We start from the raw sequence: 26,059 nt of genomic DNA on the forward strand, positions 1-26,059 counted from the left end.
TATAAGACAACATTTTAAAAGGAAAATCTCTTAAGAATGGAGGCTATTATGTTGAGCAATGCCTTCCTTTCCCAACAGAGTATTAGACAAGCTGAATATATAAATCTGCTTTATGTTACTGTATCAATGGCTGATGTTCAATGGACTTTTGGTATTAGGGCTATAAATATCTGACAGAGAAATAAACATCATATGGAAGTAAATTGACTATAATGGAAGGAGGTGCTCTGAATAGGCCTCCATGGAATTATCTGCTCAATCTTTGAGACTTTGTTTTGGCGTTGTTACTTTTGAGAGTGTAATGATTTTTCTTATGTGGTTGGTGCTTTGAAAGGAGTTCAGGAGTGAACCTGTGTTCTCATCATCCACACTGGTGGCTATCAAGCCTGTTGTTAAAGCTTATGTGTAATGTTGACCCATAATTCAATTAAAAAATGTTAAACTAACAACAATGGGGGTGATTTTTTTTTTTTTTTTTTTTTTTTTTTTTTTTGAGATGGAGTTTCGCTCTGTCCCCCAGCTCTGTCCCCCAGGCTGGAGTGCAGTGGCGCCATCTTGGCTCACTGCAAGCTCCGCCTCCCGGGTTCACGCCATTCTCCTGCCTTAGCCTCCTGACTACAGGCGCCCGCCACCACGCCCGGCAATTTTTTTTTTAAATTTTTTTTTTTTGTATTTTTAGTAGAGACAGGGTTTCACCATGTTAGCCAGGATGGTCTCGATCTCCTGACCTCGTGATCCACCCGCCTCGGCTTCCCAAAGTGCTGGGATTACAGGCGTCAGCCACCGCACCCGGTTGATGAGGGTGATTTTTATAACCCTCCTCCTTCCCCAATAAAGTGTGTCCACATATTTCATTTTGTCTGTCTTGAAGTTTACAGGTAATAATTAATCACAATATACAAGCTCACTCTTTTCTTTCTTCCCCTCTCTCCTTTCCTCCATCCCTATCTCTGCACTTCTCTTTCGAATATGGAAGGAAATATTTACCACCACCTACCATACATTGATGTTTAGGAAGACCAAAGCTGGAATTAAAATCCTCAGCAGGGGTTCCCACAATGAATGACTATGGGTGTGAGGGTTTCTCAGCATATATGTGTGTGTGTGTGTGTGTGTGTGTGTGGTTTTTGCTTTTTCATCCTTACCATCCTTTCATCATTCAAGGAGCCATATTTCATATTCTATTTGCATAAGCAAGGAAAACATTACACAATTCCTGAAGATACAAGTAATCAAGTGTTATACCATGAAGTTCTAATAATAAATATTAAAGATAGGGCAGTAAAACAGTACAAAGAAAAGCTTTGTAGTGAACACAGAACTTGTCCAGGACCTTGGACAATACGTCTGGTTAGAGAGGTGGCAAAGCACAGAAGATTAAATACATTAAGGACTCCGTTTCTTCCTGTTAGTTTACTGGTCATTCCTGCCATGAGAAGATGATAGAGAATATCACCACAGTGTGACTTGCTTCCAAGGCAGCATGGTTTCATGCAGAGGATCTAAACTGGGGACCATGTGCTGGGCTGCAAAAGGGCTGTGCAGTGCCTAAAATGTTATGCAAAATTTTATAAAGGTAAGCATTTGTTTTCTGGAGAAGGATACACCCAATAGAATACTGTTTATGAAAATGTGATCTAATTACATTATACTCCAGCATCTCTCCTTTATCAAGTGCAGAAGACTAAGGTCTATTCGAGTGCAATGTTTGGTCTATTGTCATAGATAATAAATAATTGGTCCTGGATCACCCCTAGATCTCTATTGTTTCATCGATGCATCCTCATACCCACAACTTCATTTGGTTGGTACATCTGCTCTGGGTCATTGCATTAGTTTCTTAAGACCACTGTAACAAAGTACCAAATATTAGGCAGTTTAAAGTAACAAAAATTTATTTTCCCATAGTTGGGGAAAACAGAAGTCTGATATTAATGTGTCAGTAGGGCACTGCTCCCTCTGAGACTCTGGGCAGATCTCTTTTTTGCCTTTTTTTAGCTTCTGATGATGCTCGTCAAACCTTGGCGTTCCTTGACTTGCAGCTGCATCACTCCAGTCTCTCCCTGTGCCATTATATGGCATTTTTCCCTGGGCGTCTCTGTCATCACATGACATTTTCCCCTTCTTATAAGGACGGTAGTCATATTGAATTAGCGTGTATCCTAATAACTTTATATTAACTTAGTTATATCTGAATATCCAATAAGGTCACATTCACGGTTACCAAGAGTTAGGAGGTAAGCATATCTTTTGGAGAGAGACAATTAAACTAAAGATTTTTCTCCATTTCTCTCCTTAAAATAACTCTTCCCCTCTGTTTTCATAAAGCTATTATTCCAAAAATAATTGAATTCATTCTGCTCAAACTCCATCAACTGAAGTTAAGGTCGATCATTTTTCTAAGTCATCAGCAAATCATTCTGAATTCTAAGAGGGTATGATGTGCCATTGTTCTACATTTTGAACTGTAGCCAAACTTGGAGAGCCACTAAATGGGCTCCCATATGTTGACTCTGAATCATTCATAAGTAGTCTCTTGAACCGCCACACAACTGACATCTGACATAAATAAACAACCACATTTTTCTGGCTTGTTTATGAGCATGTCTTGGGGAGCAAAGTCAAAGCCTTCCTGAAGGAAAGATATATTACACCTATTGCTTTTCCCATCTACAAAGCTAGTGACTCTGTCACAAAAGAAAATTAGATTGGTCTGACATTATTTCTTCCTATGGCCAACTTGACTGTTTTCCAATCCTCTTCACTAGTTTAGGGATCCAAAGAGTAAAAACACACGTAGATATAACATTCTGCATAAAATGTAAGACTTACCCAAATTTTATGCACTATCTCTTTAAAATAGAGCTATTTTGACCCTCTTGGATAAATGGGAATTTTTGGCCTGTTTGGTCTTGATAAGAAATTTTACAATACTCATAGAAAATTGCAAATTTCAGACAATCTTGATCCACAAAAAGAACCCATCACTTCAGCCTGTTATTTCTTTAAATTCCCATGAAACTCTCTTGAGAACATTTGTTGAACTGTGTAATAGAAACTGACATAAAGATGGGGCATTAATATACTGATTTCCTTTCTTTGGGTTATATATCTAGCAGTGAGACTGCCAAATCACATTGTAGTTCTATTTTTAGCTTTTCAAGGAACCTCCATACTCTTCTTCACAGTGGCTATACAAATTTACATTCCCAACAGTGTATGAGGGTTCCCTTTTCTCTACATTCTCACCAGCATTCATTATTGCCTATCTTTTGGATAAAAGCCATTTTAGCTGGAGTGAGATGATATCTCATCATAATTTTGATTAGGTATCTGCACTCCCATGTTTACTGCAGCACTATTCACAATAGCCAAGATTTGGAATCAACCTAAGTGTCCATCAACAGATGAATGGATAAAGAAAACATGGTACATTTACACAATGGAATACTATTCAGCCATAAAAAAGAATGAGATCTTGTCATTTGCAACAACATGGATGGAACTGGCTGATATTATGTTATGTGAAATAAGCCAGGCACAGAAAGACAAACTTCACATAATATCACCCATTTGTGGGAGCTAAAAAGTAAAACAATTCAACTCTTGAAGTTAGAGAGTAGAATGATGGTTATCAGAATCTGGGAAGGGTATTAGAGTGAGGAAAGTGCAGATAGTTAATGAGTACAAAAATATAGTTAGATAGAATGAATAATATCTAGTATTTGACAGCACAATAGGGTAACTACATCGAACAAGAATTTATTGTACATTTTAAAATAACTACAAGAGTATAATTGTAATGTTTGTAACACAGAGAAATAAACAATTGAGGTGATGAAGGCCCAATTTACCTTGATATGATTATTACACATTGTATGCTTGTATCAAAATATCTCGTGTACCCCATAAATATATATACCTATTATGTACCAATAAATATTAAAAATATTTTTAAAGGAGCACCAAAAGTTAGAAGACAAAACAAACTTGACTGAATAAGTGAATTGCTTAATTGCTCTGTAAGAATATTTTTCTATTTTGATATTATAACATAAAAGTCATATGTTGATATATTAACTATCTTGAATATGGAGAAGAAATCTCACTGTTAGGTTGAGTGAGATTATGCCATTTTTTACCCACAGCCAATTTTGACCTTACAATGAATGACACCGTATTATTGAATTCAGGAAGAACAGAACTTTATTCACTAAATTTCACTACCTGAAAATTATCTTGAAACCTTTGGATTATCTGGGAAGACGTTAGTAGCTTGTCACTGTGTGTGACATTTGCCTATGCTCGTGGCTGAGTGTGAAGGGATCCAGCTACCTTTGGTTGGAAAGGCAGTCTGAACCATTTAGTTTCACTTTAGCAGCTACTCTCAGGTACCAGATTGCTTCTGAGACCAAGTTTCACCGTCTTGACCTTGAAATTAAAATTTGTCCATCAATCTTTGGTCTTCTCACCTCCCTTTTCTACAATAGATTTGTTGCATTAACTTCTACACTTGCTTCCTTTCATGGGTTTTGTCCCTGTCAGGTCTTTTTTCCATTATTCCACCTTTTGGTCTTCCAAGAGATTCCATTCAACACATTTCTGGCAAAGACCTCCTGAGGTATCACGAACTATCACTATGTTACTGGATACTCAGCTTTGGCTGTGTGTTCCAATATTTGCTATTAACAGGTGGTAGGAAACTGGGCTGTCTGAAATTTTTAAAAACCTTGTTTCATTTTCATACCCAGTATGTACAACAGATAGGTCTCTGACATTTGATGTTTGCTGCTAATTGATTTTTCAAGATTTTCAGCTATCTAAAAAACATCAGAGTTCTTATTTCTCAGCAAACTAAACAAGTATGATTTGGGGTTTTGCAGATCTTTAGAATTATCTCTGTGTATGCATCTAACCTGAACTAGGGATTAGAAACCGAGTAACACAGATACATTAATAAAAATAGGTATGTATATCAAGTATAATAAAATAATACACTGGTATTAATCCCACAGGAAAATTTGTTCAAAACATGAAAAATGGTTAACCTAATTTCAGTGAGAAAAATCTCAGATTGTTTGGTGGACACTGAATGGATAAAACACTTCTTTTGTAATTTTTATTGCTTTTATTTTTATTTTAGCTTAAAGTTCAAATTCCCTAAATAGGCCCTCTATGGTCTTAGTTCTTCTGACCCCATCCACCTCCAACTCCAACTCTTAGACAATGTTGGTATGTCCAAGAAAAAAAAATTCATTTTCTCAAATACAATGCTTTTCTCCTTGGTAGTAAACTCTTGCACAGATTGTACTCATCTGATTAAAACAGTTTTCCCCTCTGTCTTTACATTTCCATTTTCTTTTCACCCTTAAGACCTCACTTAATAAATGACTTCTTCCCAGAGGCTTTCCCTAACTTCTTAACTGCGTGAAGTGCCACTGCTCTCTACCCCATACAACACTCCACTGCCCATAACATGCACTTACCACCATGTGTTGGGACAATCTGGCTCTTCTCTCATTCCCTTTCTTGCCCATGAACTCCATGAGAGCATAATACATGTATAAGTACACTCCCAAGTATGTGGACAATGTTTAGTCACTATTTGTTGAGTGAATGAAGCATGAATAAATGTGAATGTTGCAATAGATTTGATTTCCAAAAGTGGAAAATCTCCTAGAATAAATATACTGCTCAGTTGAGGCCAAAAATTGACCTTTATAAATTTATCATTTATTGGAATACAAACTTAGAGCTCAGCTTTCTATTTTCAGCCTCGTCTTTCCCTTGAACTCCATAATTATGTATGCAACTTCATCTTCAGCATCTTCAGTTGGATGTCTAATTCCAAACTGCACATGTACAGGAGACGTTTTGACCGTTTTCCCACAAACTTGACCTATCCACAGGCTTTTTCATCTCTGTTTTGGCATTTACATAGGTAAGAATAAATAAATATATCTCTGTGCAATCATCAAGTCCCATGTCTTGGATTCATCTTTGACTCTTCTTCTTCTCCTAGTCGCAACATGCAATGCATCAGCATATTTCCTTAAATCCACATTAAACGTATATTCAAACTTTGACAATTTCTCAACTGTTTTCCAAGCTATCATCTTCTCTTACCTGCATTGTAACAATAGACTCCTAACAGGTCTCCTTGCTTGATACCAAAGTTATCAATTACCTTCAGTTTATTCTCACATAATCAGAGCGACTCTCTTAAAACACAAGGAAAACTACATCTTTCCTCTGCTCATCAGCTTCCAGTGGCTTCCCACTTCACTGAGAGTACAGACTAAAGACCTTTCGGTGGCCCACAAGGGTTTTGGTGATGGAGCCTTCTTACCCTTGCTGACTTTTCCTCCTGTACTGTCTTCCAATCCCAACTCCAATGACATTGATGTCCTTGATGTTCCTTCAGTGATACTTAGCCTGTTGTACACCCATACAGGAATGGTCTTCTCTCAGATATAACATTCCCTCATTTCCTGCAAGTCTTTGCTCCAATATCATCTTCTCAAGGAGGCCTTTCTGAACCATCTTTCAAAAAATTGCCGTCATCATTGACATTACCCTTCCACCATTCTTGTTTTCCTTTTTTTAGTTTTTCTTTTATGTAGTGCATTTTACCTTCTAATACATTGCACTATTTACTAGCAGGGATATTGTTTCTTCTGTTAACTGTTGTGTTCCCAGTGACTAGAACAGACTTAGCACTTAATAGGCATTCCATATTTGTTAAAAATGAATGTATGAAACTCTAAGTCTAAAACCTAAATAGGCCTTGTTCCATGTTTTCACTAACCTCATAATAAGAAAAATCTAGGAGAAGACTCTTCATAGTAACGAAAAGCTAGGGAAAGCCTCTTATAACTCCCAGTGAGACAATGGGCTTTCCTAGAAAGTCATATTTTAATGTTCCTACCAATTTAATTTGTTTTAACTTTAAAAATATAAATGTTAAGTGTGGTGCCCAGGTAACAGCTGACCTTTGAAAGACACAAGCTAGAATTCAATTTTTGCCAGGGGAGTTTTGCCTAGTCAAGTTGAACAGATATTTTATATTTTACCCTAAAATTTAAGAATCTCAGGCCCAGTGAATTTTTTTTCCATTATGTAAATTGTTCCCAAGCTTTCCATATGATTCCCTTTCAAGGGAAAATTTTCTAGTTTTGTGTGGTTCATGTTTTTTTCCACCCCTGAAATTCCAAGATCACTTAACTGTGATTAAATAACAGCTCACTTTTCTTTTACTTTGCCATAGCTTAAAAGCTCTTGCTCTAGTGGCCCCTGAATGCAAAACAAGCATTGCCTGGCCACAGGCATGCTTGGCCATGGCTGGTAATGAGAAAGTAGGAATTCTTAAGCCAGGATGGGTATAAAGTGAATTTATCTGGTTTTGTTCAGAGACCATAGCTCAAAAATCAGGCACCATGTGTGGTTCTCATTCCCCACTTGTAAATGTTGAAACCCCATTAAAGAAACTACCAGAGCATTGTCATAAATATCTCAAATAGAAGTTTGCAAGAAAACACTGCTGTTAAATAACAATAAGCCTTGAAACTTACACTGTGATGAAGCCCTAAGGTTGATAATTCAAACCAAGACATTTCTCTTTTATGTGATTTGCTAGGATATTTTCTTGCTTTATTTTCTTGAAGCCATATGACTAGTTAAAAATCCATACATTTGGTATCTAGGAACTAACTAAATTTAAAACCACAGAACCAATCTTTCTTAATGTGTGTTTCCAACTATTTCACAATTTGTGAACATTGGCTTTAAATTGGCCTGTACATCTGAGCTGGTTGTGGTCATTAGAGAATTCCAACCTAGATAAAATTTTTGCAACCATAGCCCACAGTAAAAACACTATAAATTGAACAGAGATTTCTTCTGCTTCTCATTCTTTTCTTCTGACTCTCAACCTATTGAAACCATTTCTTAAGGCTGATTTGGGAAGAAAATGTTACAGTTTTGTACTTTCAAATTTGTATTTAAAAACAGGAAATTATTAAGTACTTCACAATGGGCCAGATATGAGAGCTTACAGAAATATAAAGATGACAAATGCAAAGGCCCTGCCAACATGAAAAAGGATAAGTGGCATTCATATATGCTCTCTGAAGTGTGGCAGATGCTGCTTATTACTTGTCTTATATCCATCATTCTCTTCTACCTGGCTAACAAGTCCAGTAGTCAGGTGCACAGCCCTAGAGAATAACTCTGCCGTCCTGGTATCTCTTTTTTTTTTTTTTTTTTTTTTTTTTTTTTTTTGTAGTCTGAGGATAGGTATTTTGTTTCACATATTTTATTTTATTTTTATTATTATTATACTTTAAGTTTTAGGGTACATGTGCACAATGTGCAGGTTTGTTACATGTGTATACATGTGCCATGTTGGTGTACTGCACCCATTAACTCGTCATTTAGCATTAGGTTTATCTCCTAATGCTATCCCTCCCCCTCCCCCCACCCCACAACAGTCCCCAGAGTGTGACGTTCCCCTTCCTGTGTCCATGTGTTCTCATTGTTCAATTCCCACCTATGAGTGAGAACATGTGGTGTTTGGTTTTTTGTTCTTGCGATAGTTTGCTGAGAATGCTGGTTTCCAGCTTCATCCATGTCCCTACAAAGGACATGAACTCATCATTTTTTATGGCTGCATAGTATTCCATGGTGTATATGTGCCACATTTTCTTAATCCCATCTATCATTGTTGGACATTTGGGTTGGTTCCAAGTCTTTGCTATTGTGAATAATGCCGCAATAAACATACGTGTGCATGTGTCTTGATAGCAGCATGATTTATAATCCTTTGGGTATATACCCAGTAATGGGATGGCTGGGTCAAATGGTATTTCTAGTTCTAGATCCCTGAGGAATTGCCACACTGACTTCCACAATGGCTGAACTAGTTTACAGTTCCACCAACAGTGTAAAAGTGTTCCCGTTTCTCCACAACCTCTCCAGCACCTGTTGTTTCCTGACTTTTTAATGATCACGCTACCTGACTTCAAACTATACTACAAGGCTATAGTAACTAAAACAGCATGGTACTGGTACCAAAACAGAGATATAGACCAATGGAACAGAACAGAGCCCTCAGAAATAATGCCGCGTATCTACAACTATCTGGTCTTTGACAAACCTGACAAAAACAAGCAATGGGGAAAGGATTGCCTATTTAATAAATGGTGCTGGGAAAACTGGCTAGCCATATGTAGAAAGCTGAAACTGGATCCCTTCCTTACACTTTATACAAAAATTAATTCAAGATGGATTAAAGACTTACATGTTAGACCTAAAACCATAAAAACCCTCAAGGAGAACTACAAACCACTGCTCAATGAAATAAAAGAGGATACAAACAAATGGAAGAACATTCCATGCCCATGTGTAGGAAGAATCAATATTGTGAAAATGGCCATACTTCCCAAGGCAATTTATAGACTCAATGCCATCCCCATCAAGCTACCAATGACTTTCTTCACAGAATTGGAAAAAACTACTTTAAAGTTCGTATGGAACCAAAAAAGAGCCTGCATTGCCAAGTCAATCCTAAGCCAAAAGAACAAAGCTGGAGGCATCACGCTACTGTCCTGGCATCTCTTAAAGCTAAAAGTAACCACATGTGCTGACCAATGAAATTGCACATGAATGTCTTCTGGGGTTTCTAGAGAAGCTTTTGTATTTTCAATAAAAGAAGGTAGATGTGGGTAGAGCCCTTCCTTCCTTCCTTCCTTCTTCTTCCTAAGCTGAATGAAGGCTTGAAGTCAGAAACTACAGCAGTTATTTTGACCATGATGTAAAAAATTCAACTCAGTAAGAAATGCAAAGTCAAGAATCCTTAATGCATCCTTAATACATCCTTAATAAAACTAGTGAGCCTGTGAGGCAACCGTATCACTGACTATACCTGGACATTTTCTGAAAACCAATTTATGTGTGTTTAAACTATTTACAAATCAGTTTTTCTGATCACTGCAACTAAAAAAATTCGTAACAAGCCCACATGATCACAAGTTAGACACTTGGAGTATCATGGTGTTTCTGGCAGTGGTATTCTAGAGGTTTTTAAGGGCTCCAGTCATTGAATTCCTCATCTGCAGACATACCTGACAGCTCTTGGAAGACAGGATGGCAAGAGGTGAAATCTTGCTTAGATGATGGACAAATTCAGGCAATGTGAATAAAATCCATAGCTCCTGAAAGTCTTTGGAGATACACTCATTTGTTTGAAGGTATTATTCCCATAAGCTGTCTGTTTAAATGGAAATTAATCTGGAGGAGATAAGGCATTAAGCCATGGCAACATGAGAATGTGAAAAGAGCTCCAGCTTTGTAATCTTCCTGACATGGGACTAAAATCTGCCTTTCCCTGTCGTTACTTGTATGATGCTACTGAGCTTCTTTGGGCCTCAGTATCCTGATCTCAATGGATGAAGTATTAACACTGGCTTCACAGAGAACTTGATGAAGTTAAATATCATGTACACAATGTGCATAGCAATTACTAGTACATGGTAGCCATTCCAAATGTGCTAGCTGTAATTTAATATTATTGTTAACATTATTTATTATTATTAGCTTAGCAAATGATATGCTTTTACTGTGTCACCACCCAACTCTCACCTTGAATTGTAGTAATTCCCATGTATCACGTGTGGGGCCAGGTGGAGATAATTGAATCATGGGGGTGGTTTCCCCCACACTGTTCTCCTGGTAAGTGAGTAAGTCTTACACGAGCTAATGGTTTTATAAATGGGAGTTCCCCCGTATAAGCTCTATCTTGCCTGCCACCATGTAAGATGTGACTTTGCTCCTCCTTGCCTTCCAAAATGATTATGAGGCCTTCCCAGCCGTATGGAACTGTGAGTCAATTAAACCTCTTTCCTTTACAAATTACCCAGTCTTGGGTATGTCTTTATTAGTAGCATAGGAACAGACTAATACAGCAAAGACTGGCTTAACAGGTTTCTGTTAAGATGGCAGTGAGGAGGGAACACTTGGCAAGGACATTTTCCTAGGTGAGCATAGAGCATTAAAGGGAGAAACTTTTCCATTTTATCCACAGCTATGGACAAAGGCTTTCCCCTTTCTTTAACTGGACAGTTAAGACAGCTAAATGTTAATTTCTAGAGTCTCCCCACATATGCAATGCCAATAAGAAATGCTGCCTTGGTAAATGACAAACATGAGGCTGGGTTTGCTGAGGACTACACAGAGATTCCCAAATCAGAGATCAAAATAGCTCTGGGGGGTTTTGTTTGTTGTGTGTTTTATTTTGTTGTTATTGTTGTTTATTCCTTTATTTATTTAGTGTAAATGATTTGGTGTATGGTAATACTGTTCTCCAAGAAAGCAAGTCCTGGTATAGGAGGTTTGTAGAAGGAAGGAGTTTTGGGTTAGGGTGAGCTGAGTTACTTTAATGTACCTGCAGTACACTCACAAGGGTATCGGGGGTGATTTAACAACAGGAGGAGTAAGAAAAGAATATGGTTCAATTCCAGACCCAAAGATTACCCATTTAAAAGACCCAAAGTGAGAAAAACAAGATTAGCAAAGGAGTTAGAAAATAAGCACTAATAAAAGCAAGAGGAAAGTTGGGAGGATTCAGTATCATTAACCAAAGGTAGTTATAAGTTCTAGAGAAAATGGCATGGTAGAAATAAATCCATACTTCACTAGAGCATATCTGAAAGACTTTCCTACTTTAGTCATTACAGTTATAAATAAAATAATCAATATTAAAATTTCTAGAGGATTTTCACTAACTGAAGCACTGCAGTAACTATAGATATTAAAAGACATTACATTGTATTAAATTCAATAGCTTATAGTCTAGTTTCATTTAGATGAACAAATATTCTACTCAGCATAATATTTAATATAAACTCCATACTTTGTGATTAGCATTTGAATTTGTAAAGTTACCAGTATATAAGAGGTTTGTCCTAAAAATAAGGAGATCTCTTTTTACAAATACATCATCCAAATAAACACTGCCCTTCATTTCATTACATAGGTAGGTCATGTATTGCTCCATTGATGCTGCCCTTATTCATGATGATTAAAGCCTTTGGGAGGTATTCCTTCAGAATAATGTAAGTACTACAGAGAGCATGTGTTTTAGATTTACTCAATCCTAAATTTGAAATCTTGTATTGCTTTTTACTGTATGACCTTGGGAATATTACCTAAGTCTCAATATGTTTGTCTGAATGGTGGAAAAAATAATACTGAGTTTCTATAAAGATGATATAAAATAGTACAGACTAATCACCTAATACAGTGGCTGGACCATATTAGAACTTTAGCAAGTTCTTGTTGATACTGGTATTATTAGCCTCAGGGTGTGTGGCAACATCTCATTTCTTTGTAACTATGTGTCATAATTGTATGTCAACTCTACTTCTTGTTCTCAAAACAATAAGTAATTTTTAATGATCCATCTTATTGTATAGATTTTGTTCTGAATGACTTTGAGTGCTCTCTAAATCTTAAATTCATTTTCAAATGGTCAAGAAGGAACACTTGATAAATTCTAATGAATTTGTCAAAGACTATGAAGGAAGTTTCAAAAAAAAGAGTTCAAAAATATTTTAGGTAGTGGCATCATTGTTGCAATGAAAACAAACTCTCTCAAGTCACCTTGAGAGCCAAAAGTAATTCAAATATGAAATAATCTTTTTAAAAGTAAAATGAATCCTATTACCTTATAACCATATGTCAATCTTAATGAATAAGATTTTAAAGAAAAGATAAAATCTTACATGAAAGTTAACTATATATTTAATCAATTAAAATATTTGCCCCAAGTATCCTTCAGCTGCATGATTTATTTGGCAGGCAATTATTCGTGGTAGCATTTTGATGTCACCAGTATTAGACATTTTAAAAAAGGAATGAATACGATGAACCTGTATGACATTTTATATCCAATGCACCATTAAAATTCATATCAATTAAACATGAAAATTAAGACTCTATCGTGTATATTATATAAAATTTATAAAGTGAAAAGGGAAATGAATCTATTTATACATTTAATTGTTTTCTATTTGCCAAATAAATAGTTTTAGTGAAATGTTCTAAATTAGTGCACAGTGTGATTAAGGTATTTGAATTTCATCAATTTGCATGCAATTTTTGTATTTGCTTCTATTACATGGAGCTAGTCTCAGTCAACATTTTCATATACTGACATTAGTTTTGATTAAACTTCTATTTGTTTTAATATTTCTTGAGAACTTGATTAACATTTTAACAGCTTTGTGCTAGGTATTTTATGTGAATTATATACCTATTTTATTCTAATAAAAATCATCGTGAAGTAGGCTCTATTATTAATCACACTGAGGGATGAGAGAGTTGATGTTTAGAGATTAAGAATTTTGCCATAAATGACCCAAATACTGTAAAACAGATCTAGGAATCAAGTTCTAAAGATTTTTAATGCTCAAATAAAAGTCCACCTGCTCGGTAATGAGGAAAAACAGAAATAAGAATGGTTACAACGCTTTCTCCTTCTAAAGACTGCCGATGACTTACTGATTCTTGAAATATTCTGAAAATAAAGAGCCTAATATGAGAAAGGCTATTCTTTAATATTAGACCAACACTGAACCCGCCACACTACGTTGCACAGTGGTTTAGAGCATGGGCCCTGCCAGCTTTCAAACCTGCTTCCTATTTGTCATCATCTGACTCTAGACACTTTATTTACCTACAATCCAGTTTTCTTATCTGTCAGTGAGGGTGAGACTCTACCATATAGAATTGTTGTAAGGATTGAAAAAGCAAGTGTTAGTTAAAAATCACTTAGAATAATGCCTGTCCCATAATAAATACTATGCACATATCTATTAAGAATAAATTATTTTTAAAATCAGTGAGAGAATAGTCAAAGCCATTGTCAATTTAATGTATTCAGCTGGTAGATTTTGTTTATGCCCCTAGCGAAGACTTATTTCTCACTATTAATTACTCAATGGAAGGGTCTTCACACTTATTCAGAGTAATTATTGATTAGATGATTTACCTACTGATCATACTTGCTAACTTTGGTACTTTTTCTTACTCTCTCATTTAACAGAGCATAAAGACACATAGTCTTAGTTCTAAGTGAAAACATAAAATAAAATATATTCAAAATAAAGTCTACTTATTCTGATGTCTGGCACCTGAAGAGGCTTTTCCATGAATAAATGTAGTTTATTAGCTTTTGTGGAATGTTTTCATATGCAATGATTCTAAGCCGGGTTGGCTATACCTATGATGAGAAAGTCAACAAAATGTCATTTTAATTAATAAATTAATTTTGCTTTCATCAGTCAAAAACAAGTAAAATAATAAAAAAAAGTACCACATGCCTTTCAAAGATTCTACCAGGAAATTCAAGACTGTTGAATAGCCAAACAGACTACTGTCTAAAAAACAGGAAAAAGACAAAGAGAAAAAAGAAATAGAAAACATAAGACAGCCCCTAAAGCCTGACAATGATTCATTAATTTTCTGACTTTTTCTGATAGACTAATTATGCACTGTGAAATACAGAGGCCACTAGAAATGTGTGGCTGTTTAAATTAAATTACATTAAATATTTCATCTCACTAGCTACATTTCAAGTATTCAAAAGCCGCATGTGGCTAGTGGATACTGGATTGGGTATAGCAGATATAAAACAGTTCCCACCTCAAACTTCAAATCAGAATCTGCATTTTAACAAGATCTCCCAGGTGATCTATAAACTCAAAGTTTGAGAGACAGTGACTAATTCATTCAATAATTTATCTTTGGCTTCACGATTATTGCAGTATAAAATGCTGAACTGATTTTTCAGTGTAGTGAAATACTGATGTCTGTGTCTTGTGAGAAAAGGCAATATCCAATTATTTGATAGTATCTCTTCTAATAGTAAGAAAAACATGCCACCTTGGTTTTCTATAAACTCTCTAATTTTTCCTGGCTTTTTGTAAATTAATAAGCTCTTTTATTTTGTTCCCATATCCAGGGACAACTTCGATAAGTACTGGTAAGAAAATAAGTAGAAACTCTAAATTTGAAGTCTTCATTCTCATCTTACTATCTTCTATTAAATATTATTTATAATAAAAGCTGTAGGCTAATTCAGAAATAAGACTCCCATCAAAATGCATGTAAATATATTAAGCAAGTTAAGAAAGGCTGTAGACTAGGAAAATGACTATTCCACTAAGAAGTTTTGAAGTGGAACAGAGACACTGCTTTTTGAGAAATATCACCAGGGCTACTCATCAAGATGTTTCCAGATCACATGCTTTATATTGTTGTATGAAACCTGAGAGAGCAGAACTGGTGAAATCCATCAACCAAGATGAAAAATTATTGCAACTTTGAAAACAGAAATGGCTGTAAAAATTAAAACTGATGAGACTCGGAGTTTAAGAAACCCAAGGCCACAAATCCCCCCATGAGACAGACTTCCTTGAGGACAAGGACTATCTTCCATTTCTGTGTACCATGTGCCTGTAATAGTGTTGGAAACAGAGTAGGCACTCAATAAATATTTGTCAAACTATATTTCATTGAATTATCTTCAGTTCATGCATGGGAAAAAGCACTTTCCATGCTATCGTGATTGTTCACCTGAGAAATCAAATTAAGAATTTGATTATGCTCAAGTATCTCATTCTAAAATGAACTTCATTACCTACAGTAAAAATGTAGAACTACCGTTCATTGAGAAAATGAAGTAACAATAAAATTATAGAGACAACTGTAAGTCAAATTAGGTGAGATATCCCCCATTTGCATTCATGAAATAAATTATTGAATAGCTTTGGTGATCTTTTTTCTATCACATAGATAAATCCCGCTGAAAGGTGACATCTTTTGTGGTGGCTTCTTCCCTTGCTTACTTTAATGAAGCAAAAAGCTCAGAAAATATTTGAGAATTTTTTTCAAACTGATGGCTGTGCCTCTTTTATCATGCTTATTTGAATAACAAAAATATTAATGAATTCTTTTTCAGTACAGGCAATTTCCCCCCCCCTTTTTTTTTTTTGGCAGGAGAATTGAGCCTTCTCAGACAAATTTGATTTTTGCTATTCATGATACTTGTTTAGTCGTTCTACTAGTATGTAGGCATCAGCAGTAATACAATTTGTGCAGAATGGAAAATATGCCTAGAGTGCTAGGCATGCAGAAATGCTAAGCACAAGGCCAAACGTCAGCATCAACACAGGAGCTTGACGAATCACCTTTGAAGGTTCTGTTATCGATGTTTTCTCCTGATGTGCATGATGTGTTCTCTCTGTTAATTAACTCTATGACCTTGGACCATTCACAATTTCTCTAATTCAGTTTCCTCATCTGAAGGGGGTATGTGATCAAAGGGATGAGAAATTTATGGGAGAGGAGGACATCACAGACCCAACCACATGCAGAATGGGAGATGATGAACCCAGCCAGTTCCTTTGGAATGGCCCATGAATACAAAGCTTTATTCATTCATCAGGATCCAGGCACCCATTACACTATGAGGGTGTAGTAAAAGCTGTAGACTAACTCAGAAATAAGACTCGCATCAAAATGCATGTGAATATATTAAGCAAGTTAAGAAAGGCTGGAGACTAGGAAGATGACTGTTCCACTAAGAAGTTCAATCTTATTTTTTCCTGAAAATACACCTCAGAAGGTCAGCACAAGATGGAAATCTGTCTAAAAAGAGAAGCAATGAACATTAATAGAATCAACTCTTGATTCTCTTAAAGCAGATTATCCTTGACAAAGCATGCCAGCAAAAACAATATTCCACTTCGCTGCTTACTTTGTTAACAGCTCACATCTATTTACTCTTAACTTGGAGTGTAGCCTGCATTCAAGCTCTACAATCATTTGGAAACGTGAGATTCATAGACTATTGCGGATGGAAGGGCCTTTAAAAATCATCTAGGCCTACCATCAATCTGAACAGCTCTCAGAAGCTTGAACAATCCCACTGATGTGGAACTCACTTCTCCCTGAGGCAACCTATTCTATCTTTGGACCAAGTTTGTGCTCTGGGAAGAATGAAAGTAACAGCTGTGCTTGAGCTGCATTGCTATGCTGGTCTGACACACAAACTCTCCTCTCCCATGCTTTCCTAGCATAGACTAGGCTACAGGGAGAAGTTGAGAGCATTTTAGAAAGAAAATGGAAAGTTTCCTATTTAGATTGTTTTGACAGATAGAAGCCCAAAATCTTCAAAACAATTACAGTGTCAATAAAACTTTCATATCATAAACAATCACTTATTAATATTAACTAAATTATTTCCCAAAATCAATATAAAAGATTATGATAAACACTAACTGTGATTACCCGTATTTTAGTTGTCTCATGTATCCGTGTGAAGAGACCATCAAACAGGCTTTGTGTGAGCAACAAGTCTGTTTATTTCATCTGGGTGCAGGTGGGCTGAATCCGAAAAAGGAGTCAGCAAAGGGTGATGGATTATCATCAGTTCTTATAGGTTTTGGGATAGGCAGTGGAGTTAGGAGCAATGTTTTGCGGGCAGGTGGTCGATCTCACAAAGTACATTCTCAAGGGTGGGGAGAATTACAAAGAAACTTCCTAAGGGTGGGCGAGATTACAAAGTGCATTGATCAGTTAGGGTGGGGCAGAAACAAATTACAATGGTGGAATGTCATCAGTTAAGGCTCTTTTCACTTCTTTTGTGGATCTTCAGTTGCTTCAGGCCATCTGGATGTATACGTGCAGGTCACTGGGGATATGATGGCTTAGCTTGGGCTCAGAGGCCTGACATGAGTCTCATACTGCCACCTCTTACCTGGCTTAAGACACTTCCTCCAATAGGAAGCATGAGCGTGTAGCAAAATACTAATCTTCGCTCCTTCCCTGGCCCTATTAACATTACATCTAATTCATAATACACACTCACACACCCACTCGTTTCATCTTGATCCTCCTAAAACCATAATGCTGATATTTCTTTCCTTCCCAGTCTTTGCCATCCTTAACTCTCAAAGAGCATTATATTCTTGCTATCTCTACTTCTTTGCTACTGTAATTCACTGCCACCCGACTTTTATCCCCAGTATTGTGCTAATAGTGGAGATAAAAATAAATGCCTAAATGGCAAGTACAAAGAACATTTTTCAGATCTTAACTCTAGCCGACTCTATAATGCACCGGATTTTGTTGATCACTAGCTTTGTCTTGGATCTCATCGCTTAGTGCCTGTTACCCAGCTACCCTCAAATTTTCCTGCTGTTCTGCCTTTCCATGAAGCACTGATGCCCTCCAAGGAGCCACACTGTGCAATTTTCTCTTTGCTTCGTGTGCTTTCCTTGAGGAGCTCCCCCTACTTTGAGTTTTCTCTATCACCTGTCTACCTCTAACCCTCGCCTCTCCTACAAACTTGAGGCTAATTTGTCCCCATGAAAGGAAAAAAAAATGAAATAGTATCTAAAGGATAAATAGGAATTAGTGAAGAGATACAGAGGGAAATATATTGGCAGAGGAAAAGAACATCACAAGATAGAAAAGCATATTTAAAAGCTTAGAAACAGCAACAACAACAAAACAGGTAAACCCAAGAAATTAAATGAAGATCAATGTCACTGGAGCAGAGATAAAGAAAGCGTGCAATCAGGATGGAGAGATAGAAAAGAGCTGAGTCATATGAGGTCTTATAATCCATGTAAAGGAGTTCAATCTAAGGGTAAGAGAAAATAGGAAGAGTCAAAGGAATTACATGACCAGATTTGCATTTGCTTTAAATGTCTCCTTGATGCTAATGTAGGCAATGAATTTATGGGGAAAGGGAGGGATGTGAAGCATTAACAGGATTATTCAGAAGTCTGTTTAAGAGTTGATGAGGTGGCTGGACTAAAACAGTGACCGTTGAGATAGGGAGCATAGAGGTGAGGTAAGATTTAAATCTATTTACTTCGTAAAATGAATAAGGTTTAATTGCTGCCAGGATTTGTGAAGTAGAAGAGAGGAAGGAGTAGCTTTCTAAGTAGGATAGCTTGATGGATGCTGGTACCTTTCACTGACAGGAGAAGCCGAAAGCAAGGTGGAAGCCAGAAATACAAGTTAAGCATCCAACATAAATATCAAACTATTTTGCAGACATCTCCATAGAATTATCCCATAGGCATATCAAAATAAGGAAGTCTAAACCTCACAAAAGACTGTGGGAGGGAATATTCACCAAAAGGAAAAATAATTTTGATAGGTTATTACTAGAGGAAAGTAGAATATAAACTGGACAAGCAAAAAACCACAGCTGTCCTTTGCGTTTTCCTCTCAAAACCACTTTCCCCACTCTGGTTCAGTCCTGTATTTTCCATGGCCAAAAGTATATTTTTGGCATTTCCTATATTTCTCATTAGTCTCTGTCTAAGAGACAACCTTTACAACCTTTACATTGCCATGAGATTGACCTTCCTAAAGAACCACTTTGCCACATTACTACCTTATGTTAAAATCTTCACTAGCTTCCATTGTCTACTAAACGACCTACAAATTATTCAGGCCCCTTGGGATCTGTCTTCACCTTATTTTCTAGGCATGGCCAAATTTACCTACGCAAAGCCCTTAAAAGGCCATAACAGGCTGCTGATCCATCAAAGAGCCTTTAAGATTTTACCACCGCCATGCTTTAAATCATGTTGCCTTCCATTTTATCCATCTGCAATGCTCAACAACACTGGAGCCATCCTTCAGAGTCCAGTCCAGATGTAAATACGTCCTTGAATCCTACCCAAATAACTGTGAGAAGTGATCATGCTCTTCTCTGAGTTCCTATACAAATATATTGCAGAATTTGTTCAGTCTAGAACCATCATATAGATAGATAATGGCTACAGGGAGCATTAGACCAAACAACTAATTATTTGTAAGCTTTTGATTTATCTCAAAAACTCCACTGTTTACTGATGACAGTGTTGAATAGCCCTGTGCTTTGGAATGTCAGCAAAGTGTAGACATCCCCCCAGTTCCTTATGCTCTGGGATCTAATAGCAAATGACCACCTACCCTAGCATATTCCAAGATAACCATATGCACTCTTCCTCAGTCACACAAATGAGACTCAGCTCTATGCTTCCTCATGACTCACTTGTTTACTTGCTTCTATAAAACTTCAGGTTTTGCCCTCATCTTTGATACATTTCTCACTAATGAACATTATCCCCAGTGCAGTATCCTAAACAAAATCATCTCTTTAATTGTCTTATGCATTTTGTTTTTCACACTGGTTTGAGAGACAGAATATACAAATGGACGATAACTAAATCCTATACATAAATGTAACTCTACCTCACAACCTGCAGCAACCTGCCCCAGAAACCATCCATTATCTACAATAACCATCCCAGGAAATCAGCCTGTTAAAAGTTGGACTTGTAGAAATTCACACTGCTATCTCTAGCAAAAATTGAGGAAGCCAGCCAAAAGTCCCTGTAACAATCAGCCCAAAATGGCCAGGGCTTGGTTAATAACTAACATCTTCCCTAATTTTTGTCCCTGCTTTCAACTCAGGACCAATAAGAGAAACCAAAATATGCACCCCTAGTTAATCACATTGGATGCTTTTCATCAAATTGGCCTGCCTAAGCTTCCTCATGCCAATAGCCCCCAGTCGATGCATATCTGAAGTCTTCCCTTTTTTCCACTACAAAGCTTTCCCACTTTGCCTGCCTTTGAATCTCTGCCAAAACACAAGGGATGGCAGCTGACTCCCTCCCTATAGCAAGCTCTGAATAAATAGCCTTTATTTGTTCTCATTTGGTTTGTCTTTGCTTATTTTCATGGCTTGACAGAATTATACTAGTTAATTTCTAAATTTCTTTGCATGTGTAATAATTTCACAAAATGGTATCAAAATGATTTTACTACAACCTTCCATTAATGGTAAACCATTTGCTTTTGCTCTTTTGCATGTATGTGTATCATGTATCTTTATTTTAATGCATTACTCTTAAAGATGTAAAGTAAGTACATTAATATATGATGGAAAAATGGAACCAGTAGTTATTTTCTTTGATTCCTTATTTCAAATGTTTATCTCCATCTAGTTATTTATTTTCAATAAATGTTTGGGAGAAGTTTTTTTCTTAGTCGAAACAGTGCATTTTTCAGAGAAACTGACACTATATTGTAGCATTTATTTTCAGCAGATTGACATGATTTAATTAAACATAAACATTTGCTTAGATTATTTCTACCAAACCTCTAAATATTTTACATTCAACTATTTTCCATAAAGAAACAATTTAACCAATTGAGGACAATCACAAGGAAGTGCCTTGGATGAACAGTTCAAGACTTATTCTATTCTTTGCTCTACATAAATAGTATTTCAAACTTTGCAAAATAAATTCTTCTCATCTAGGGAAGAACATTCATTTTTATTGCTTCTTTTTTTTTTTTTTTTTTTTTTTTGCTCCTACTGTGACAGTTTTGCCTATTCTCCTTAAATGGAAGAGTAAGTAATAACAGGAATAATAACCCACATCATGCTAGCAGAAGCAGCATCTGTTAAAAATCCCTCTAGATTTTCTGCAGCTCTAGAATGAAAGAAATATATACATCAATTATCATGTACTCATTTCCATTTCCATCTTGCAGGTAATACAGGACTTTGCTTACCTCTATTAAAACTTCAAAATCTAACGAGTTGGTTAAGGATAAGAAAGACTATATGATCAATTATATTTACTTTTTATTTCAATCATTTTTCTATGTCTAAAAAATGACAACAAAAAGCCTTTGCCATTTGCACTTCTAGTCAATTTCCTTCCCAACAGGTTGCTGTTTTATGAAATTGACTTAACCCCAAGTTGTTGTGGGTGTTAAGGTTGCAAAGGCAATAGAGAAAAGACATTTTTTGACAATTGCTTGAAGTAAGCATGAAATTGGAAAAATTTTACTGCTATATAAGCATACGTCTTGGGGAAATGTCAGCCAAAGTTTCTCCAGAGAAAAACCAATAATGTGCATCTCTAGGTGGGTCCAAGAGTCCCCATTTACCACTTAAAGGGAGGCTGCTGTTCATGAATCTTAGCAGAGGAACTTGGCTCCTATCCAAACAAAATGTTCTGGGAAATCAAAGCCCTGATTATTATTATTATCATCATTTTAAACAACAGATTCATTAACCAGCAAAATGAACTAAATCAATTCAAATTTGTCATTTAGACCAAATCTGAGGTCATGTTTTGATATTTTGATGTACATAATTGTTGTTATGAGAGTCCTTTTAATCACCAAGCACATTGTGTCAAAGTATGCAGAAACATTTTAGAATCAGTGACTCTTCTCTATGTTTTTTTTGTTTTGTTTTGTTTTTTTGGTTGGTTGGTTGTTTTGGGCCCTGGGTTTATTTGTTCAAATAGCACAGAAGGACATCAACTCCATGCAGAGGGCAGCACAGTGGTCACTCCAATCCTTCTATCTTTACATTGGCAGACAAAAGCCTCGACTCAGGAACCTTCTGGGGGACTGGGAACCTTTGGGACCCTGAACTGGAACCGGAACTGGAGCTGGAGCTAGAGACATAGCCACAGCCACAGCCTGGGCCTTGGTTTGACTGAGCCTTGGCCTTGGCTTCTGGCAAGCAGAGCCTGAGACCTCTGGAGACGCAGGCACAAGGATGCCTTCCAAACTTGGGGTGGGCGATGTAAGCAAGTCAATCAAGCTCATGGCTGATGCCCTTTGGGATCGTGGGTTTGACCTCCCTGGGCTTTCGGGGAGGTTAGCATGTGTACTCATGGCCTTGGTGGTGTTGGTGGGCATCCGCTTCGGGCCCTTCTTGTCATGCTTTTTGGCAAAGCACCTGTTCCTGAGAAACATGGGATCCATTCTCTTACATCTGTATCTTTGTGACGGGCATTTCTTGATGTATTTCTATGTCATTTCCAGGACTGGCTGTACATCATATGGTTCTTGGACTTGGTCACAGCTGCACCTATACCCACAGCTTATATGTTTATAGACTAAGAATGACATATTTACATGAACACAGGCACAGGATATATTGCTTCTAATCTAGTATATGCTTTACCAAGCACTTGAAGAGAATGAACTTCTAAAATAATTAGAATGGTTATCATTTAATGGGTATAAAGTTTCAGTTTTGCAAGATGCGAAGAGTTCTGGAAATTGGGTGCACCACAATGTGAATGTACTTAACACTGGATTGTGCATTTAAAAATGAAGAAGGTTGTAAGTTTTCTGTTTTGTACATTTACCATACTTAAAAATAAGAAAATAACTAAAATAATTAGAATTTGGTATTAATATTTAATAACCACTAGCTTAATATAATTCCTGAACGCATCCCTCTATGTGAAAATGGTCAAAGTGAGCCCATCAAATCCCAGCTTGTCATTCATCCCAACTTTCATTAATCTTGAAAATCATATCTAAACCCCTACTCCCAAAATGCTACCAAATGCAGTACTGAAGTGACATATTCAGTTTGCTCAGCTATCAGGGCAACACTACTTTTCATCTAAATCAGCTAAGAATTTCTTTATTTAGGAATTTCTTACTGCTTTGTGCGAGGTAGCTGGGTTATTGACAAGAAAAAGAAAAAGTAGCCCCTAACGAAAGAGAGCAGAAAAGGGAAGCCTTGATGAATTCCAAAAAGCATGGCTTATGTCTAAGAGTTCCTTCTTTCCTTTCTGGTTCCTTTCTGGTTTACCCAGAGAAAGAAGCCTCATTTAAAAAGTTTATGTTTTCCTACAAAATTTAAAGCACTCTGGGAAACTAAGCTTTGTGTTTCTAACCCAGAGAAAATAGAAGGAAGAAAAATACAGAGGAAAATTAGGCTATAGTGCTGGCTTTCTTACTCTGGTTTTTCTTCAGATTATATTATTTCTATATTATGATCACATGTTTTATGAAGCCCATTTGCATCTATCATCTCAGTTAATCTCATTAAGCTTTACCAAAATCCTGAAAAGTAGATATTATTGTCATTAGCTCATAGATAAAGTAATTTATATTCAGAAGAGTTAGTTGTCTGATTTCAAACAGCTAAGAAGAGGTAGAACTGAGAACCTATCTCAGATCTTTTAATTCCAAACCTGCTTTATTTTCCACTCTGCCCAGAGTAACACAGACTGATTTAGTCTGTGGTTAACATTTCCCAGAAGGTACACAAGTGCCTGTTCTTCATTTTTTATCATTTATTTGCCATAAAGGGCAAATGTCTCTGCTGAGAAGAGTGATTATTATATCCAAACAGATAAAATAACAGGGGATTTGCTGAGTCCAAGTAACTGTCCATTTAACATACCATAAATAAAAGGTGATTTATCATAAGCATTCAGGGGATACTTTCCAGAGCTACAGTTACATGCTGTAGTTGGGTTTTGCTTTGACCTGGAACTAAAATCAGAACTAGAAGGAAGGTTGTGGGCCCCTATCCTGACTCTGTCCCATCTTTCTGATTCCCTTGACACTCGTAACTCCCAAAAGTGCCACCCAAAAATGCAACTTCAGTTCTAACATCAACTTACAAGTTCAGTGTCCTCAAATATAGGACCCATACTTGTCATGCTCAAATTCTTAATTTCTGGGAGAGAAAAAGCCAGAGAATCAGCTCATGTCAAGACTCTCCACCTCATTTGGTATACATTGACAATAATGATCAGATTAGGTGTTTTACTCTTTGGCAAATGAACAAAATGAATATACCTCCTGTGCTATGGACTAGTTAAGCACCTGTCTATCCATTTATTTTTATTTTCATTATCAGTATTATTTTTAATTTTTAATTTTTGTGGGTATATAGTAGGTGTATATATTTATGGAGTACATGAGATGTTTTGATACAGACATGCAATGTGAAATAAGCACATCCTGAAAAACAGGTTATCCATCTCCTCAAGCATTTATCCTTTGAGTTACCAACAATCCAATTATCAATTAGACTAATGTATGGTTTGCTCTTAAGAAATTAAAAACCCAATGTTTCGCTGATATACACCGTGCTAACAGGAACATCAGAAAACACAAATTAAAGTGAGAGTCTATTTAACGAAGTTGGCAAAAGCTGAAAAGTCTAAAAGTATCAAGCAGACAGGGATATAGGAAAAAAAGAATGCTCAAATTCTGGTGTATCCACATCAATGAGAAATTTAGCTGTATCTATAAAAGTAGACACTATGCTTCCCCATGACCCAAAAATATTCTAATTGTGGTCCTCTAGCAAAATTCTTGTTCATGTGCGGTACACATGGACTGGAGAAATATTTGCAAAATCTGTTTAAATGGTGCCTCTGGGAGAGAGAGAGATTTTGAATTTGAGAAGGAAACAAGGAAGACATCAAGTGTTACATCTTACATCATTTACACATAAAATAAGATAAAGTAATAAAATATGAACATTAACTGGGTTGAGAACATAAGACCGTAATGTATTCCCTGTGCATTTATTTTGTAAACTTTAAAATAAAAATAATGAAAAAATAAATAGAGAAACAGCATAGCCTTTTTCCTTTCTGAAAATAAAAAGTAAAAGTGTTCAGTCATACAGCATGCTAATCGTTTCCTAAGGAAAATGTTCCTCCCCACAAAGAGGCTCTGCTATTATTCTCATCACATGAGACTTCAATATGGGAAAGGAGAATCTGTACAAAATTCATTTTTCTCATGTGTGGGGGTAATGTGGGGGTTGGGTATGAGTGTGCGCATGTGTATTTGGAAGTAGGAAGTAGTTTATAAGGCTAGGTCAGGCTCCTGATGCAGAAGTGGCATTGGTGCCAGTAGGATTTATACTTTCTACAGTTGCATATAGCCTATCGTTGGGTAACAAGCCACAGCAACAGCAGTTTCCCTATCAGATAGTTCTGTGTTGTGATTTTAACATTAATTTTGGAAATTTAATCTCAAGCCTAGTGAGGTTTCACTTCTCTAAAAAATTCAGTGAGCTACTCAATATCTATTCAACCCTTTCTATGGTAAAACGTAATATAGGTTCAGAAAAAGGTAATTCAAATGGTAGCTTAGTGAATTATTATTGTAAGGATAACCTTTGTAACCACAACTCAGG

At 36.4% G+C, this 26,059-nt stretch overlaps 1 protein-coding gene, 1 long non-coding RNA gene and 1 pseudogene across 2 annotated transcripts in view; 1 reads left to right on the plus strand and 2 right to left on the minus strand.

The window, feature by feature from the left end:
• LINC01919 (long intergenic non-protein coding RNA 1919) overlaps nucleotides 1–15,078 on the plus strand; it is a 29,405-nt gene extending 14,327 nt beyond the window's left edge. Inside the window, exons 4-6 of the long non-coding RNA NR_110798.1 lie at nucleotides 1,413–1,576; nucleotides 12,032–12,110; nucleotides 15,020–15,078. This is a non-coding gene — a long non-coding RNA (long intergenic non-protein coding RNA 1919). The remainder of the gene's footprint in view (nucleotides 1–1,412; nucleotides 1,577–12,031; nucleotides 12,111–15,019) is intronic.
• Nucleotides 1–26,059, minus strand: part of LOC124904304 (uncharacterized) — a 266,099-nt gene that overhangs the window by 101,939 nt on the left and 138,101 nt on the right. The window lies entirely within an intron of this gene.
• Nucleotides 22,501–22,860, minus strand: RPL29P32 (ribosomal protein L29 pseudogene 32; annotated as a pseudogene).

This window comes from Homo sapiens, chromosome 18, assembly GCF_000001405.40.
Source record: "Homo sapiens chromosome 18, GRCh38.p14 Primary Assembly".
Lineage (NCBI taxonomy): Eukaryota > Metazoa > Chordata > Mammalia > Primates > Hominidae > Homo > Homo sapiens.